An 18,952-nucleotide genomic window follows, 5' to 3' on the forward strand; every position below is an offset into this window, starting at 1 on the left:
GAACAGAACTGAAGCCAGCACCTTAATCTCATGTAATTCCACTGAATGACTTTATTTCCTCCCCAGGCTGACTCGGGGCTCCCACCAGTGGATGGTGGTGGTGGTAGTGATGTTTTGAATACGACCCTCTGATCTACTGGATTTGGGCTGAGAAAGATACTTGAATGACTTTGTTGAAGGTGAAGTAAAGGGGAACCAAATTTCTGTAATGAAATATTTCAAGCAGATCTTCATAATATCTTGAGTCATTGGGTAACTGAACAAAATTTACTGAAAGGGGTTGTGGTAGCCAGACTCTTAAGATAGCACCAGTGATCCCCACCTCCTGGTTGTCCCACCCCTGCGTCATCCCCTCCTACTGAGTGTGAGCTGGATTCAGTGACTCAATTCTAACAAGGAAAATAAAGAGAAGTGTCAGTGTGTGACCCAGAGACAAGGTCATAAAAAGCAGCATGTGTCCACACACATCACTCCCTTGAGGGGAGGCCAGCTGCCATGTCATGACAGCCCTATAGAGACACCCAAGTGGCAAGGAACTGAGGGCTTCTGTGAATGAGCTTGGAAGCATATGTTCCCCAGCCTTCACATGACGGTAGTCCCCAGCAATATCTGGATTGCAACCCTGGAAGAAACCCTACGCTACAACCACACTGTTATGCCAGCTCCCAGATTCCTGACCCGTAGAATCTAAAAAATAAAAAATAAAAAATTTTATTGTTTAAAGCTGTAAATTTAGGGAAAATTTGTCACACAGCAATAATTAGTACAGGGGCTAAAAGTATCCACTCCCAGGACATGGTGTAAGGAGTGCCAAGAATGTGCCCAGATCTACACAATTACAACCCCACCTCATTGCTCTCAGGCCGGAAATGCTGCAAGTCCTGTCTTAAATATGTATTCAATCACTCATAGAGTATACATTGGGTGCCCTCTGTGTACAGTCAGGGTACCTAATGTTACAGATAGCAAGGGAATGTGCCCCTTCTGAAATCCTATGTTCCCTCCCCTGAAGAATCAACCAGCTTTCCTGTCAAAAGCAGTTTTTAAGGCCACTAAAAACTGAAGCTAACCATTGAGCTGAGTCCAGGGCCTCCTATTAAAAGGAAAAAAAAGGGAACTTCATGGAATGTAGTCACCACCCCACCCTCATAGTTCCCCCTAAATTTAAATAGAAACACTTCACTCTACCCTCTTAAAATTAAGTATTCACACAAAGCAGACACTGGAGCATAAAATATCTTTTTACTTCACCAATTTGAACACCAGAGATTTGCCTTAAAGGGCCAGGCAACCTGAAGCTTTTCAACAAAAACAACTCGTGGAATACTGGAGGCAGATGATATTTCATCTTAAGCATCAGGTATATTGTCTACACCATCAGAGATTCTCAAAGGATTAGTACTAAATAGTGCCTATTATTATATTAATGATAAACCATTTGCATATCACTAACAAGTTTCACCCAGGTAGGGCTAATCCCTCAGTTTATTTTGTTTGTAGATCAGCCAACAGGTTCCTTATTCACTGTAGGCAAGGCAAGAAACACACTTTTTCTTCAACCTAGTTGGTTGGACCAAATGTTTACATATACACATTTATCCCCACCATTATAACCATCATGCAGCTTCTAGGACAATAATACTATTTCTTACATAAAAATATTAACTAGAAAGGCTTTCAATTAGCCAAATGTAATAACAAACAGATATGTACTTAAGGCTTGGCTACTGTGAAATGAAGTTATAAGCTAGTGAAATGAAGTCATAAGCTGGTCATACAAATACATATTTTTCAATAACAGGATTTTTTAAAAGATTTTTTAAAATAATTCATACCTTTGTTGATTCCACTTGTGCCATTTGCAATTTAACATCAGAAAATAATCATTCCAAATGGTTCTCCCTGCTATGATTCACCACGGTGAATGATTCTGCCACTCACAGCAAATCAGAGAATGGTTTGGAATGGCTTATTTTCCTGCTCCAATAAACTATGACTAGGCATTCAGCAGATTTTTCTTTTGTTTCTTATTATTTTGCAGAGTCGAGAAAAATATGAAAAATAAAAGAAATAACTGAATGGCCCACTGCTTTCAAAACGTATTTAGTCTTGCTCACTTATGTCAAATCTATTATAATTCACCTCCATCCTGCTGTTTTTCTAGTGTTTTCCATATCATGGAACCCTCACCAGTAGACGCCCATTCTCTTTCGGACCCCAAGGCATGGCTTACCTTTTCCTATAAAACTCTAAGTGCTCACTGCCAAAATAGATGTGTGTGATAAAATTAAAGTATTTCACTGGCCTTTGGTTCTGGAAATAATTGGCACAAATCTCCTTTGTTGCATTAATTGTATATCATTGTTTATCCAGCGAGTATCTCAGCACCCACTTAGCCATCTGGGCCTCAGCCCAGAAAACTGACTTACATGAAATAACAATGAGGCCTTTTGACAGTTTTCAATACACTGCTTTAATAATTTTTTCAATTGTATACTTTTCCTGATTCAGGAGTCTAAAATCAGTAACTACAAAGAAACAGCTGCTACAATTCTCTTTATCCTCCTACTCTCATCCTTAAGATTCCAGGAATCATCGGTCAGAAGTATTCAACTTACCAATGCTTAAACCTTTGGGAAAAAAGCATCTAGATTCCCTCTCAACCCCAGACATCTAGAAAAAAACAATAATGAATGATGATAGACCCAGTCAGAGAGAACTATCTTCTCATCATTTTTCATGCTAATGTATAAAGTTACTGATATTCTACAATCCTCTGTCTTCTCAAAGCATCTACACACACACACACTATACACACACACGCGCACACACACACACACACACACAAGTATGCATACCCAGAATCTCCTAAGCTAGGACTGCCAACAACCCACTAGCAGGGGCGAAGTTTGGATGCCAAAAGACATTGTATTGTCAAAGCTAGAGTTACATGAGGTACACTTTGCATAGAAATAATGTTATAAATGAAGATCATATAAACTTGGTTTATCTATTTAATTTATATCACTTTTCATAGCCGGGCTCTATATTCTTGACTGGGTGAAGATATAAATGAACTAGTGGGCTCCAAACTGTCTTGGTCAAACAATACATTAAAAATTATCATGAGCATATTCATCATGTATGTGTGTGTGTATGTATTTACAAATTATATAGGTATTCTGCTGTGATGCAAACTCACAAAAAATAATACTAGGATAAGAAAGAAATAATATACATAGGCATTCTACTATACGTCTGTAAACTCCACACCTGCACACCTCCTGGGGTGTACACTTTCCATTTTGAAGCTCCAGTGATATACCATGTTCTGCCCTTTAACAGTTATTTGTTTGGTGGGTGAAAACAATATATCTGCCACTTTTATGCAGCATTTTATACTTCATAAAGCATTTCATACACATTATCTAAAATAGTCCTCACAAACACCTTCTCCTCATTTTATAGACTAGGAATTTAAGTAACGTAAGTGCCTAAGATCACCCAAATGGACTGTGGCTAAACTAGATTTGAAACCAGGGCGATACTACAGATATACGACAGATTAAATGGGTTTTTATGTGCCAGTCTGGAAACCACACCACCACTTACAATATTACTTCCAAGGGAAAATGCTTTCTGAGTTCTAATTAACTGACTTGTAAAGGAACTTTTCGAATATAGGTCATACATTCAGGACTAGATGTATTACATATTTTCAAATAAATGTTTTTTTCATACAGGATAATCTGAAACTTTTATTATACCACTAATGCCAAAAAGTAAATCATATAAACATAAAAGCCCTACCAAGCAGTGCTGAGATGCCCATGTTCTATAAGACAGTCACCCAATGCTCAGGGCAGCATTTCTACCTTTACTTGTATAACCAATTTCATGTCCCGAAATTAATGAACCACATTCCCTTATAAGTGTTTAAGAATCAGTAAAATTTTATTTATAATTATTAAGCTTGTAAGTGTTATGCTTTAGCTCTGGAAAATTATCTTTTTCTTTTAAAGCCAAAAAGTTGCAAATGCAAGAAAGAAAATGCCTGTAATGAATGGTGCTTTGGGTCAGAAAGGTGACTAGAGAAACCAAAGTATTTTTGTTTTCCCTCTGCCAAAGGTGACTTAGATACTTAGACTTATGCTGGACTCCCTTGAGTCTTCTTGAACCCTGCTTTCTTAGATTGCCAGCATTGATTAAGTAATATTTTTACTTTTAATATTTAACAATGCATTTTACTTTATAAAAAATTTATATCCCCTTTGGCCCATAACCTGACTTCTGTGAACTTAATCTAAGAAAATAATATAAAATTATCAAAACATTTTAGACAGAAAGTATTTCTTCATAATGTTACTTACAAATTGAAAATTTAAAAGCAACTTGAATGTTTAACAATAAATGACAGAAATACTCAATGATATAGCATACTTCTGTTTAAAATGATGGCTACAAAAGCCATACAGAAGCATCAAAAAATAAATTTAGATATATTAATTGATAAAAGCAGGATATAGACCATGTGTGCATTATACTTACAATGACAATAATATCATAGGAAAAAAACAGACTAGCAGCAAATGGGCCTAAATGAATCAATGTTTTGGTTAAAGATAGTAGAATTTTGGGTGACTTTTTTTTCTATATTTTCTAATTTTCTCTGAGGTGGGTATTTTTATAACTAAAAAGAGGTTTCTACAAACGGCATCTGATGATTTATAAGGAATTTCTACAAATCAATAAGAAAAATATAAATATCTCTAATCAAAACTAGGGAAATATGAACAAACAATTCAGAAAAGGAAATCCAAATGGTAATAAAATGAAAAGAGGTTCAATCTTCTCTAGTAATCAGAAAAATTTTAATTAAATTAAAATAATAAAATATAATTCCATGTCATAATATTAACAAAAATTTAAAAGTTTTATAATTTTCGATGTAAGGGTATATGAATATTGGAGCTTTCATACACAGTAAGTAAGAGTAAAAATTTGTACAATCACTTTGGAGACTAACCTGGTAACATCTAATAAAGCACATAAGAGTCACAACAATGTTCATTGTGACATTATTGATAATAGTAAAAAGTTTAAAATGACATGCATTTCTAGCAATAGGGAAATAGATAAATAAATCATGATATTTTCATATGATGAAATATTATAAAGCAATAAAAATGAAAGAATTTGACCTATATGGAACATCACAGATAAATCACAAAAGCATACTGTTGATAAGGGAAAGAAGATCAGGATAATATAAACAGTTGGTCCCATTTAAATAAAGTTTTAAAGCATACAAAACAATGCTATTTTATAACTACATATGTTATAGCAGTAGTGTAAAAATATGCATGGGATAGCTAAACACCAAATTCACGATAATGACAACTTTGGAAAGGAAGAAAAACAAATGGGATTCGGGGTTGTGAATCCAGAGGACCTAAGTTCTAATCTGTAATGTAAAACACACACCACACACAGGCACGCACACTTAATCCATCTGAAGCAAGATTAGCAAAGGATTATTAAAGACAACTGAATGCGTATTTGCAGATACATAGGTGTCCATTATTTAGTCTTTTTTTCTTAATATTTAACATAAAACATTGTAAAGAAACAATGAGCACCTAGGCTGGGCATGTGTGCTCACACCTGTAATCCTAGCACTTTGGGAGGCCTAAGAGGGCAGATCACTTGAGACCAGGAGTTCAAGACCAGTCTGGCCAACATGGTGAAATCCCATCTCTACTAAAAATACAAAAATTAGCCCGGCATGGTGGTGTGTGCCTATAGTCCCAGCTACTTGGGAGGCTGAGGCAGGAGAATCGCTTGAACCTGGGAGGTGGAGGTTGCAGTGAGCCGAGATTGCTCCACTGCACTCCAGCCTGGGTGACAGAGCAATACTCAAAAAAAAAAAAAAAAAAAAAAAGGAAAGAAAGAAAGAAAAAAAAAAGATAGAAAAAGAAACAATGAGCACCTAAAACATTCTTTATTGGAAACAATAAAATTCTCTTGCAAGGGTCCAGAATCTTATCTCTAAACAAAATAAACAGAGTGCTCTCAATGAAATAAACAGTGGTTAGAACTGAGATAGATTCATAGAGGATGATCTAGGTAAGTAAAGTCGTTTGCAGTCTCTCCGGTCCTGCTTCTACTTGCTGTGAGGTGTGGCATGTTAGAAATGTTGTTTCTGCCTTCATATTTGGCTGGGGAAGTGGGGCAGGGAGACAACCCAAAAAAGATTGCAGCGTATTATGGTGGAGGGGCTCACCCTCAAAAAACTCCGACGCCGCAGTTTAAAGTGCTTCAGCTACGTGTATTGATGTTTAATTGTGTAGCAACATGAATTTGGTGTCTTAACCTTTCCGCCTCCTGGAAGATATTGAGTTATCCAACCCACAAAACCCTGGAGACTCTCAAGGCTTCCCAAAACCCCAAACTCTCCAGAAAGGAGCCATGCTTGGAAGGACTAGTGAATTTCATGTCTGTGAAAAGCCATCTTCAACAGTCTGGGGGGCTGCTTATCACATAGAAATGCTGGTAGGGGGCTGGGTGCAGTGGCTCATGCCTGTAATCCCAGCACTTTGGGAGGCCAAGGCGGGTAGATCACCTGAGGTCAAGAGTTCAAGACCAGCCTGGCCAACATAGTGAAACCCCATCTCTACTAAAAATACAAAAAAATTAGCCAGGCGTGGTGGCAGGCACCTATAATCCCAGCTACTTGGGAGGCTGAGGCAGGAGAATTGCTTGAACCCAGGAGGTGGAGGTTGCACTGAGCCAAGACCATGCCATTGCACTCCAGCCTGGGTGACAAGAAAAAAGCTCCATCTCAAAAAAAAAAAAAAAAAAAATGCTGATAAGGAAGAAGAGATGATTGCTTTGAAAGGGGTCACATTCTAAGTCTGTTCTTGGAGGCAATGATTATTCTTTTGTTCCAGCAGAGGGTGCACCCTGGCAGACAAGTCAGAATCCTATGGTAATTGGCATGCAAAGAGACATCACCAGCAGACTGCTCTGCCCTGGAGAACAGGCATGGGGGTGAGCAGGTTCATAAAACCAACTCCACCTTCTCAGGCCAACACTACCACCATGTACAACTGTAACTGGCCTGCGCCATCTCCAAAAACTAAAGCAGCAGGTTTATTCATTGAAACTTAAATCCACATAATAGAAAACTTTGATATTGACATATCCCATGTTTTGATCTACTATTCCCTTGAAAACATCTTTTGTGAACAAATATCCCAAAACAGTCAAGCCCAACCAGCCTGAAATGTGTGTTGTTTGACCTTTTGGCCATCTAGTCTGCATCTGGAGGTAAATTTGGAAAGTGGAGCAAATCTACTGAAAGATTGACCCTCCTCCTTCCTGAATATCCCGGAAGCTTTTTGGAATTCAACTTGCAAGTCATGCTTCATTCGAGGAACTTGATTATAATAGTTCCGGTGTGAAGGGTGCTGGACAGGACACTACGCGGACATCAGGCATAGCGATTCACACATTCCTCTACAAAGAGCTTCAGGTGTTTTTAGAACAAAATGAAAGAAAATGAAGCTGAGTCAGTTCTCAAAACTGTCCTCCTGTCATAAGATTCACCAGAATTACTCACAGTTATCACAGTCATTCTCAGAAATGTCAAGTGTAGGTGCTCTTCCGGGCCTTCAGAATGGTTCTTCCTCTCTCAGTCTCCTCCCTCTATTTGGAATGGCCCAGAAAAACAGTACACTGACCAAGAGCCCCATCTAAAATCAATTGTTTGCTTAAAAATGGCTACCATAATATATAGTGGTTACCAAAGTGTGTCTTATCAAAGATGATTATTTTATAAGAAAGACAGATCTTTTCAATAAAGGGAATAACTAACAGCATTAGAAAAAAATTGAAGAAAAGGTGTAGAGTAAATTGCAATAATCTTGACCATGGGGTAATTAATATTTTTTTAAAAAGAAAAAACTTATTTCAATCACTAAGACGACTCAAACATACAAGACATCTACTTGTATTCAAAAGACTAAATGTCACATATATGAACCAGCCAAGACTCACCATCTGAGAGTTAAACATTATAAAAAGAAAAGTCTTAAGCTTAATTCTCCTAGTCTATGCCTGCTTCAAATTAACATAATAAAGAATCAGAATATAGGAAAAAAGTAGTAAAAGCCCTGTTAAAGAAAAACAATGCACATATGCTTATTGGGATGTAAAATACAAATAATCTATATATGAAATAAATATATTTCCAAATCAAATAAGCTATAGATGTGATAAAATATTTCCAAATTTTATCATATATTTAAATCCAGGTTTCCACAGCAGGTCTTAGGTTAGTCAAATAGAGTTTACTATAATTCAAGTGCCCCCCCAAAAAATACTTTAGCAAGAGCTACTTATATAAAAAATGGTATTGCCCATGCAAGTCCAATGAAACAAGTTTCCTGTTTGAAATATCAAATTTAATTACCAAAATCTCCATTTTTTTCCTCTGAACACTAAAAGGTTTCATGTAATGAGGTTCAATTTAAAGAACTCTCTTCACTACATGATTTCATCTCACTTAAAAACCATAGCGCTTCAGGTGTCCAAACAAATGCTGCAAACTAAACCTGGACACACATACTCACAGAGCCTTCCCCAATCCCAGGAGAAATTTATACATGAAGATCCTTCTGTTTAGCCAGGTGAACTCTGCTAGAAATTCATATTAAAGAGAACTTTGAAGAAGGATGGTACAGGAGAACAGGTGCAGCAAAGGCACCATGTATTGAGCATCTTTTATGCGCCTCTCATTTTAAGTGTTTCATCTCATACAATCCTTACAGCCACCCCTGAGGTACACACAATTGCCCCCAGTGGACAAAAGAAGAAAGGAAAGCTCAGTGTGGCTGAGTGTGCTGCCCAAGGTTACACAGTGGGGAGGGGTGTCCAGGGTCTGAACTCCACGAGGGGAGAACTACCTTCCAATTCCGAACCCTGTGCCTAGCAAGCACCAGGGGCAGGGGAGGCATTTGATAAATGTTTGTTGAATTGAATATGACTGTAAGGCCTATCTACTTTGGAGCATCCTGGAGAATGGTGTCAGAAAGCCCAAATGCAATGTGAGGGATAACAAGGAGGGGTAGTCCACGCAGTCTAGGGTGAACCAAGTAACTTCACCCGGGCTTTCCTCGGATCCACTGCCCCCTCCTCACTCACTGTCTTCTCACCATTATCTCTGTCCAGCTCTGGACATCTGTCTGGGTTTGCTCTCTCAAGGTTGCTGCCAGCCTTGGCTGGACCTAAGGCTGCTTATCCTTCACCTCACTTTTCAAGGGAGCTGGTAACCATAAAAATACTGCCCAGCCATGGCTTCCATCCTTTAGCTATTTGGGATTACCCAGGCCCTGAGACTTCCCAGCTTCCCACTGACAATGTTGTTTCAAAGTCCCAGGACTTTGCAGGAAATCTCTGGGAATGGAGCTCCAGAAAAATCTGGGTGGTCAGGCTTGTGTTGCTTTCATAGATGGGTTTTAGTGAGAGAGTTTGAATCTGCCTAGAGTGTACACCTCAAGTAGTTATTAGAAATATCTGTTAGTAGTTTGTGTTCTCCAACAGGGGCATATGAGGGAGTCAGGGAGGTTTGGCAGCCCCTAGCATGCACACCACTGGTAACCTGGTGGATCAGTTAGTTTTCACACTCCTTTAAAGAACTATGTGAGACTGGGTAATTTATAAAGAAAAAAGGTTTAATCAACTCACAGTTCTGTGTGGCTGGGGAGGCCTCAGGAAACTTACAATTGTGGTGGAAGGCGAAGGGGAAACAAGGACCTTCTTCACATGGAGGCAGGAGAGAGAAAGAGCAATGAGAGGAACTGCCAAATACTTGTAAACCATCAGATCTTGTGAGAACTCACTCACTATCACAAGAACAGCATGGAGGAAACCACCCCCATGAGCCAACCACCTCCCACCAGGCTCCTCCCTCGACAAGTAGGGATTACAATTTGAGTTGAGATTTAAGTGGGGACACAGAGCCAAACCATATCACCTGGGGAAGAGTTTTAAGAGACTAATACATGAAGACTGTGGAAAGAGGTACCTGGGCATGCACCTTGTGGCAGAGCCTGAGCACCAAACAGCCTCAACCACAGGGTCTTGAAAATGACACCCCACTCCTGCTGAGAGCTTAAGGAAGCACTCTTTCAAGTGCCCTCTCTGCTCTGCAGATCAGGCTGGTTTTAAAATTACAATAATCGGTAATAATATCAAAAGCTACAACCACAATTTGCTGATTGCCAGGTACCATGCAATGGGGCTTTACCTATTCTAAGCCCCATTGATGGGGGTTATTATTTCCCCAACTTTGCAGATGAGAATATGGAATGGGAACTTAATAACCTGTCCAAGCCTCAGCCAGTGAAAGAGCCAGCTGCTAACCTGGATCCCATGCTCCCTGCAGCCAGCCCACAGATCACCCTGGCAACCCAGCAGATGAGCCCAAGCCACACAATAGTGCAACTTCTTCCCAGATCCCAATAGAAAGTTACTTGAACTTCTACTTCCCCTCCTGCTTTCCCTCGTCTGCCCACCTATGCAGGAATGAATTCGTGAAAACCTGGCCAGGCATTCCACCTTGGGAACAACTTCTATATCCCAACTTTCTTAAAATGTCATCCAACATGGTGAGGAAAATGAACTTAAATTCTGAATTACATTACAAACTGACTTTCCTTCTCATTGTGGCCTGGACCAGAATCAGCCAAACTTCTCTGGGCTCAACTTCCTCATACTCAACACAGGTCAGATGGGCTTCTCATCTTCTAGTGTGTTGACGATGGTTTATGTCGTTGCCTCAATTTTCAGGTCCCTTTGGCCATTGGGATGAATTACACAATGTGAATCAGAAGTGGACAATCAGGAGAGGAGAAATCCAGCCATGTCTGGGCCTAGGCCACTCTTCAGAGATGTGGCCCACAAACACTAACAAAAAGTGGCATCAAAGCTCTGCCAGTTTCCAAATACTTTTAAAATCCTAGAAACATACCTTAGGATAAGAACCTTAGAATAACTTCTAGTCCAAACCCTTGTTTGACAGTAAGTAAACCAAAATTTAGAGAACTATCTGTTCATTTCCCATCACCCCCACTCTCGTAGCTAGCATGTGGCAGGACTTGGATTCCGACTGAAGACTCTTTTAATTCAAAGGTCATGCATGAGGTACCACAAATGCAACCTCCTCTGATTTTATTACTTTAGCCACTAATATATTTATATTTGGTAATATTGCCCTGAATAGGAGAAAACAGGGAGTAAAGCAACCCAATCCTTATAGAATGTCAGATACAGTAAGGCTCCTGAAAGTCATTATTAATAAAGAAATTGAGGCACAGAAGTATGAAAATGCTTTGCCAGTAAAATCAAGCCAGATGATGATGACGCAGTGGCTCAAACTCCAGTCTGTAGACTTCCAGCCCAGGGCTCTTTCCTGACACCCTGAGGAAACATTGCAGAGATGTCACCAGTTGGTCTTGTTTTCTAAAGTTGTTAATTTCCATAACACTTCTTATTTCTTAGACAGTTAAACTATGTACAACTATGAAAATATCTGTACTCAGAGGTGGTATAATTACATGGAAAAAAATATAAGGACCACTGGGACAAAATCAAAAGAGACAATTAGAACCTGAGTTAAATTCAAAAAACAAAAAAGGAGAGGGGCAAAATGGCTGAATAGGAACAACTCCAGTCTGCAGCTCCCAGCGAGATCAATGCAGAAGGCAGGTGATTTCTACATTTCCAACTGTGGTACCCAGCTCATCTCATTGGGACTCGTTGGACAGTGGGTGCAGCCCACGGAGGGTGAGCAGAAGCAGGATGGGGCGTCACCTCACCCAGGAAATGCAAGGGGTCGGGGAACTCCCTTCTCTAGCCGACAGAAGCCATGAGGGACCCTGCCATGAGGGACAGTGTACTCTGGCCCAGATACTATGCTTTTCCAACTGTCTTCACAACCCGCAGACCAGGAGATTCCCTCAGGTGCCTAGGCCACCAGGGCTCTGAGTTTCAAGCACAAAACTGGGCAGCCATTTGGGCAGACACTGAGCTAGCTGCAGGAGTTTTTTTTCATACCCCAGTGGCACCTGGAACCTCCGAGACAGAACTGTTCACTCCCCTGGAAAAGGGGCTGAAGCCAGGGAGCCAAGTGGTCTGGCTCAGCAGATCCCACCCCCAGAAAGCCCAGCAAACTAAGATCCACTGGCTTGAAATTCTCACTGCCAGCACAGCAGTCTGAAGTCCACCTGGGACATTTGAGCTTGGTGGGGGGAGGGGCATCCACCATTACTGAGGCTGGAGTAGGAAGTATTCCCCTCACAGTGTAAACAAAGCCACCAGGAACTTCCAACTAGGCACTGCCCACCGCAGCTCAGCAAAGCCACTGTAGCCAGACTGCCTCTCTAGATTCCTCATCTCTGGGCAGAACATCTCTGAAATAAAAGCAGCAGCCCCAGTCAGGGGTTTATAGTTCAACTAAGCTTCATAAGCAAAGGAGAAATAAAATCCTTTACAGACAAGCAAATGCTGACAGATTTTGTCACCACCGGGTTCTTGCCTTACAAGAGCGCCTGAAGAAAGCACTAAACATGGAAAGGTAAAACTGGTACCAGCCACTGAAAAACATACCAAATTGTAAAGACCATTGACACTATGAAGAAACTGCATCAACTAACGGGCAAAATAACCAGCTAGCATCATAATGACAGGATCAAATTCACACATATAAATATTAACCTTAAATATAAACAGGCTAAATGCCCCAATTAAAAGACACAGACTGGCAAATTGGGTAAAGAGTCAAGACCCATCGGTGTGCTGTGTTCAGGAGACCCATCTCATGTTCAAAGATACACATAGGCTCAAAATAAAGGGATGGAGGAATATTTACCAAGCAAATGGAAAGAAAAAAAAAAAGCAAGGGTGGCAATCCTTGTCTCTGATGAAACAGACTTTAAACCAACAAAGATCAAAGAAGACAAAGAAGGGCATTACATAATGGTAAAGAGATCAATGCAACAAGAAGAGCTAATATATGCACCCAATACAAGAGCACCCAGATTCATAAACCAAGCTCTTAGAGACCTACAAAGAGACTTAGACTCCCAGATAATAATAGTGGGAGACTTTAACACCCCACTGTCAATATTAGACAGATCTACAAGACAGAAAATTAACAAGGATATTCAGGACTTGAAATCAGCTCTGGACCAAGCAGACCTAATAGACATCTACAGAACTCTCTACACCAAATCAACGGAATGTACATTCTTCTCAGCACCATATCACACTTATTCTAAAATTGACCATGTAATTGGAAGTGAAACACTCATCAGCAAATGCAAAAGAATGGAAATCATAACAAACAGTCTCTCAGACCACAGTGCAATCAAATTAGAACTCAGGATTAAGAAACTCGCTCAAACCTGACAATGCATAGAAACTGAACAACCTGCTCCTGAAGGACAACTGGGTAAATAACACAATTAAGGCAGAAATAAATAAGTTCTTTGAAACTTATTTCAAAGAACTTTGAGAACAAAGACACAACATACCAGAATCTCTGGGACACAGCTAAAGCAGTGTTTAGAGAGAAATTTATAGCGCTAAATGCCCACAGGAGAAAGCAGGAAAGATCTAAAATCAAAAACCTAAATCACAATTAAAAGAACTAGAGAAGCAAGAGCAAACAAATTCAAAAACTAACAGAAGAAATAACTAAGATCAGAATAGAATTGAAGGATAGAGACTTGAAGAACCCTTCAAAAAATCAATGAATCCAGGAGTTGGTTTTTTGAAAAGATTAACAAAATAGATAGATCGCTAGCCAGACTAATAAAGCAGAAAAGAGAGAAGAATCAAATAGACACAATAAAAAATTATAAAGGGGATATTATCATCACTGATCCCACAGAAATACAAACTCCCATCAGAGAATAATATAAACACCTCTATGCAAATAAATTAGAAAATCTAGAAGAAATGGATGAATTCCTGGACACGTACACCCTCCAAAGACTAAACCAGGGAGAAGTCAAATCCCTGAATAGGCCAATAACAAGTTCTGAAATTGAGGCAGTAATTAATAGCCTACCAATCAAAAAAAGCCCAGGACCAGACGGATTCACAGCTGAATTCTACCAGAGGTACAAAGAGGAGCTCATACCATTCCTTCTGAAACTATTCCAAACAATGGAAAAAGAGGGACTCCTCCCTAACTCATTTTACGAGGCCAGCATCATCCTAATACCAAAACCTGAAAAAGACACATTAAAAAAAGAAAATTTCAGGCCAATATCCCTGATGAACATCAATGTGAAAATCCTCAGTAAAATACTGGCAAACTGAATCCAGCAGTACATTAAAAAGCTTATCCACCACGATCAAGTCGGCTTCTTCCCTGGGATGCAAGTCTGATTCAACATATGCAAATCTATAAACATAATCCATCACATAAACATAACCAATGACAAAAACCACATGATTATCTCAACAGATGCATAAAAGGCCTTTGATAAAATTCAACACCCCTCATGATAAAAACTCTCAATAAACTAGGTATTGATGGAACGTATCTAAAAATAATAAGAGCTACTTATGACAAACCCACAGTCTACATCATACTGAGTGGGCAAAAGCTGGAAACATTCCCTTTGAAAACCAGCACAAGACAAGGATGCCCTCTCTCACCACTCCTATTCAACATAGTATTGGAAGTTCTGGCCAGGGCAATCAGGCAAGAGAAAGAAATCAAGGGTATTCAAATAGGAAAAAAAAGGAAGTCAAATGGTCTCTGTTTGCAGATGACAGAATTGTATATTTAGAAAACCCCTTCATCTCAGCCCAAAATCTCCTTAAGCTGATAGGCAACTTCAGCAAAGTCTCAGGATACAAAATCAATGTGCAAAAATCACAAACATTCCTATATACCAATAATAGACAAACAGAAAGCTAAATCATGAGTGAACTCCCATTCACAACTGCTACAAAGAGAATAAAATACCTAGGAATACAATTTACAAGGGATGTGAAGGACCTCTTCAAGGAGAACTAAAAACCATTGCTCAAGGAAATAAGAGATGACACAAACAAATGGAAAAACATTCCATGCTCATGAATAGGAAGAATTACTATCATGAAAATGGCCATACTGCCCAAAGTAATTTATAGATTCAATGCTATCCCCATCAAGCTACCATTGACTTTCTTCACAGAATAAGAAAAAACTACTTTAAATTTCATGTGGAACAGAAATAGAGCCCGTACAGCCAAGACAATCCTAAGCAAAAAGAACAAAGCTGGAGGCATCACGCTACCTGACTTCAAACTATACTACAAGGCTACAGTAACCAAAACAGCATGGTACTGGTACCAAAACAGATATATAGACCAATGGAACAGAACAGAGGCCTCAGAAATAATACCACACATCTACAACCATCTGATCTTTGACAAACCTGATAAAAACAAGCAATAAGGAAAGGATTCCCTATTTAATAAATGGTGTTGGGAAAACTGGCTAGCCGTGCAGAAAACTGAAACTGGACCCCTTTCTTACACCTTATACAAAATTAACTAAAGATGGATTAAAAACTTAAACGTGAGACCTAAAACCATACAAAACTCTAGAAGAAAACCTAGGCAATACCATTCAGGACATAGGCATGGTCAAAGACTTCATGACTAAAACATCAAAAGTAATGGCAACAAAAGCCAAAATTGATAAATAGGATCTAATTAAACTAAAGAGTTTCTGCACAGCAAAAGAAACTTTCATCAGAGTGAACAGGCAACCTACAGAATGTGAGAACATTTTTGCAATCTATCCATCTGACAAAGGGCTAATATCCAGAATCTATAAGGAACCCAAACAAATTTACAAGAAACTATCAAACAACCCCATCAAAAAGTGGATGAATGATATGAACAGACATTTCTCAAAAGAAGACATTTATGCAGCCAACAAACATATGAAAAAAAGCTTATCATCACTGGTCATTAGAGAAATGCAAACCAAAACCACAATGAGATACCATCTCATACCAGTTAGAATGGCAATCATTAAAAAGTCAGGAAACAACAGATGCTGGAGAGGATGTGGAGAAATAGGAACACTTTTACACTGTTGGTGGGACTGTAAATTAGTTCAACCATTGTGAAACACAGTGTGGCGATTCCTCAAGGATCTAGAACCAGAAATACCATTTGACCCAGCAATCCCATTGCTGGGTATATACCCAAAGGATTATACATTATTCTGCTATAAAGACACATGCACACATATGTTTATTGCAGCACTATTCATAATAGCAAAGACTTGGAACCAACCCAAATGCCCATCAATGATAGACTGGTTAAAGAAAATGTGGCACATGTACACCAGGGAATACTATGCAGCCATTAAAAAGGATGCAGGGACATGGATGAAGCTGGAAATCATCATTCTCAGCAAAATAACACAGGAACAGAAAACCAAATATCGCATATATTCTCACTCATAAGTGGGAGTTGAACAATGAGAACACATGGACACAGGGAGGGCAACATCACACACCGGGGCCTGTTGGGGGTTGGGGGACTAGGGGAGGGATAGCATTGGGAGAAATACCTAATGTAGATGACAGGTTGATGGGTGCAGCAAACCACCATGGCACGTGTATACCTTTGTAACAAACCTGCACGTTCTGCACATGTATCCCAGAACTTAAAGTATAAGAAAAAAAAAATGCTATCACATACACAGCCATTTTCAGCTGGGCAATCAAAACTGGGCCATGTTGAAGCTTTCACCCCACAAGCTGAAATACAGCTGAAAGATCCACGCCCCAGGGGCAGCCTAGCCAGGCTGGACACCAGCTCCTGCTCCCAGGCTTCTCCCCCTCACCCTCTGCTTTCACAGACCTCTTCCACATCAGAGGCTACACAGGAGGAGGGAGCCGGTTTTGTTTTCTGCATAATAAAGATTTCAAAAGGCGAACGAATGAAACTTCCATGCCTTGTTCGGAAGAAGTTCATTTTTTAATATATTTAAGAAACATCTAAGCATACAAACAAAAAATTTTGTAAATGTACACAAAGCCCCCTTGTGGAAGTATATTTAAAAACCATTTTGAGGGCTGGAATCTTGGAAAGGGAGAAATTATGGCATTCATGATATTGTAGGCTCCCGTGGGCTGGTCATCATGTGAGGAATAGATGCAGGTATCTGACGGCAGCCGAAGCAGCATACCGTCAGCCAGACTGCCTGCCTCCTGGACTATCTTTGTATAACTACAGAATCCTTTTTTCTTTTCCTTGTAGCCACCAAAAAGAAGTCCCAATATAGACCTTAGCGGATTTCATCCCATTTTAATTCTACATTGCTTTTATCTATCTTTTATCAGAGGAAGGAAATCAAGCGGCATAATTTGGTTTACCTTTTTTTTAACTTTCAAGAAGAAAATATCTTCATATCTCCCAAGGCAACAGAATCTTTTGAACTAATAAAAACCATACAATTTCCTAGGTACCAGTTTTTCCTATGGAAGATTTTTAAATTTCCTTCTAGGAAAAATAAACAATTAAAACACATCCTATGAAGATATGTTAAAGACCACGTTGAGTTGGAAATGAAATAAAATGCTGCATGTTCTGCATTTTTTTAACTCAAGAAAAACTTTTTTGACTTTCATGATGTGCATATGGCCATTAATTTCAATGTGATATTATGGTTTTTGGCTGAACAGACAGTATGTATGTATGTATGTAAGCAAACAAAACAAATGCATTTTGTATTCAAATTTATACAACTCCATACATTTTTATGCTGTTTATTTGAAAATTAATTTTGGCTTAGGCCTCAGAGACAGCAAATGTTGTCAAGATTTGAGGGCTACCTGAAAAGCCTTGGGGACAGCATTACCCTTATGCATAAGAAACAGCAAAATAAAATAAAAATAAATGAATTTCCAAATACGTCATGGCTAATCCCTTGAGCTGACCTACAGATGAATTATGGAGGTTTTGCTACAGGACTGAGATCTGGTGATTTCACCGAGAGATTTATCTTATTTTCCAACTTATTTTCATATCTTATTTCCTTTTCTTTTAGAATTAGACTGTAAATAAAAGAGCTAAGAGTGAAGGAAGCTCCCTTTCACAGAACTCATATTGGATTGATAAATTAAAATGGTGAGATGAGTTTTGTATGACCCATCCTCAAGGATTTGGGAAATTTAGCCGATGCAAAACAAGGCATTAATTTGGAGAGGCCTAGCTACTTACAATGCTTAGTATTCTGACAATGATGAATGGCATCATTCCAAGCAAATGGTAATTTCACTTTTTGTGACGGTACTTTAGAGCAAAACCGACTTTCTTCACACAAAGAATTTGCAATCCTATTGAACAGAGGCAGTACCTGAATATCAGAAATCCTTCATTGTTTAAGTATCATCTGATATTCTTGATTGGCTTCAGACTGAAGGTTGGAGTTGAATTAGGGAGAACGGAGGTTAAGTCCTAACCTTGAAAGACTTAGCAGCCATTGAAACACTGCCTTTGGGCACTTATTGGCCTGTATTTATAAAAAAAAAAAAAACTTTTCAATTCAATGAGGGGAGGGAGAAAACACAAAACTTGTCACATTCATCAAGTGAAGCCACTGGAAAGACATCTACAGAACACCCAAAAAGCATAATCTTTCCGAAGCGCTGATAGAAATGGTAATTGGATGGGTCAGGGAATAATACAACCGAAGCAGGGGCAAAGCAGAATATCGCTAAAAAATCAAGGTCAAAAAGAAAAGAACAGACCCTTCTTAACTAGTAAAAAACTTACACTTGGCCTTTGTACTAAGGGAAAAATATACCTGTTGCTACCCGTAATTTATGTCCTCACAAAAACCTCTCGAATAGAACCTTCAAACATAAAA

At 39.1% G+C, this 18,952-nt stretch overlaps 1 protein-coding gene across 6 annotated transcripts in view, besides 3 other annotated features; it reads right to left on the reverse strand.

Annotated features, from left to right (window-relative positions):
* The window catches only part of MECOM (MDS1 and EVI1 complex locus), a 580,206-nt gene that overhangs the window by 472,715 nt on the left and 88,539 nt on the right, over positions 1–18,952 (reverse strand). The window lies entirely within an intron of this gene.
* Positions 7,176–8,375: an enhancer, noted in NCBI's record as "CDK7 strongly-dependent group 2 enhancer chr3:169281185-169282384 (GRCh37/hg19 assembly coordinates)". NCBI's record gives its function as "activates an origin of replication core promoter dependent on BRD2, BRD4, P300/CBP, MED14 and CDK7 cofactors, with strong dependence on CDK7, by STARR-seq in HCT116 cells {active_cell/tissue: HCT116}" and the evidence as "EXISTENCE:reporter gene assay evidence [ECO:0000049][PMID:35650434]".
* Positions 7,539–7,588: an enhancer, noted in NCBI's record as "active region_20780". NCBI's record gives its function as "activates an Ori minimal core promoter by ATAC-STARR-seq in GM12878 lymphoblastoid cells {active_cell/tissue: GM12878}" and the evidence as "EXISTENCE:reporter gene assay evidence [ECO:0000049][PMID:35858748]".
* Positions 7,649–7,708: an enhancer, noted in NCBI's record as "active region_20781". NCBI's record gives its function as "activates an Ori minimal core promoter by ATAC-STARR-seq in GM12878 lymphoblastoid cells {active_cell/tissue: GM12878}" and the evidence as "EXISTENCE:reporter gene assay evidence [ECO:0000049][PMID:35858748]".

The sequence above is a fragment of the Homo sapiens genome, chromosome 3, assembly GCF_000001405.40.
Source record: "Homo sapiens chromosome 3, GRCh38.p14 Primary Assembly".
NCBI lineage: Eukaryota > Metazoa > Chordata > Mammalia > Primates > Hominidae > Homo > Homo sapiens.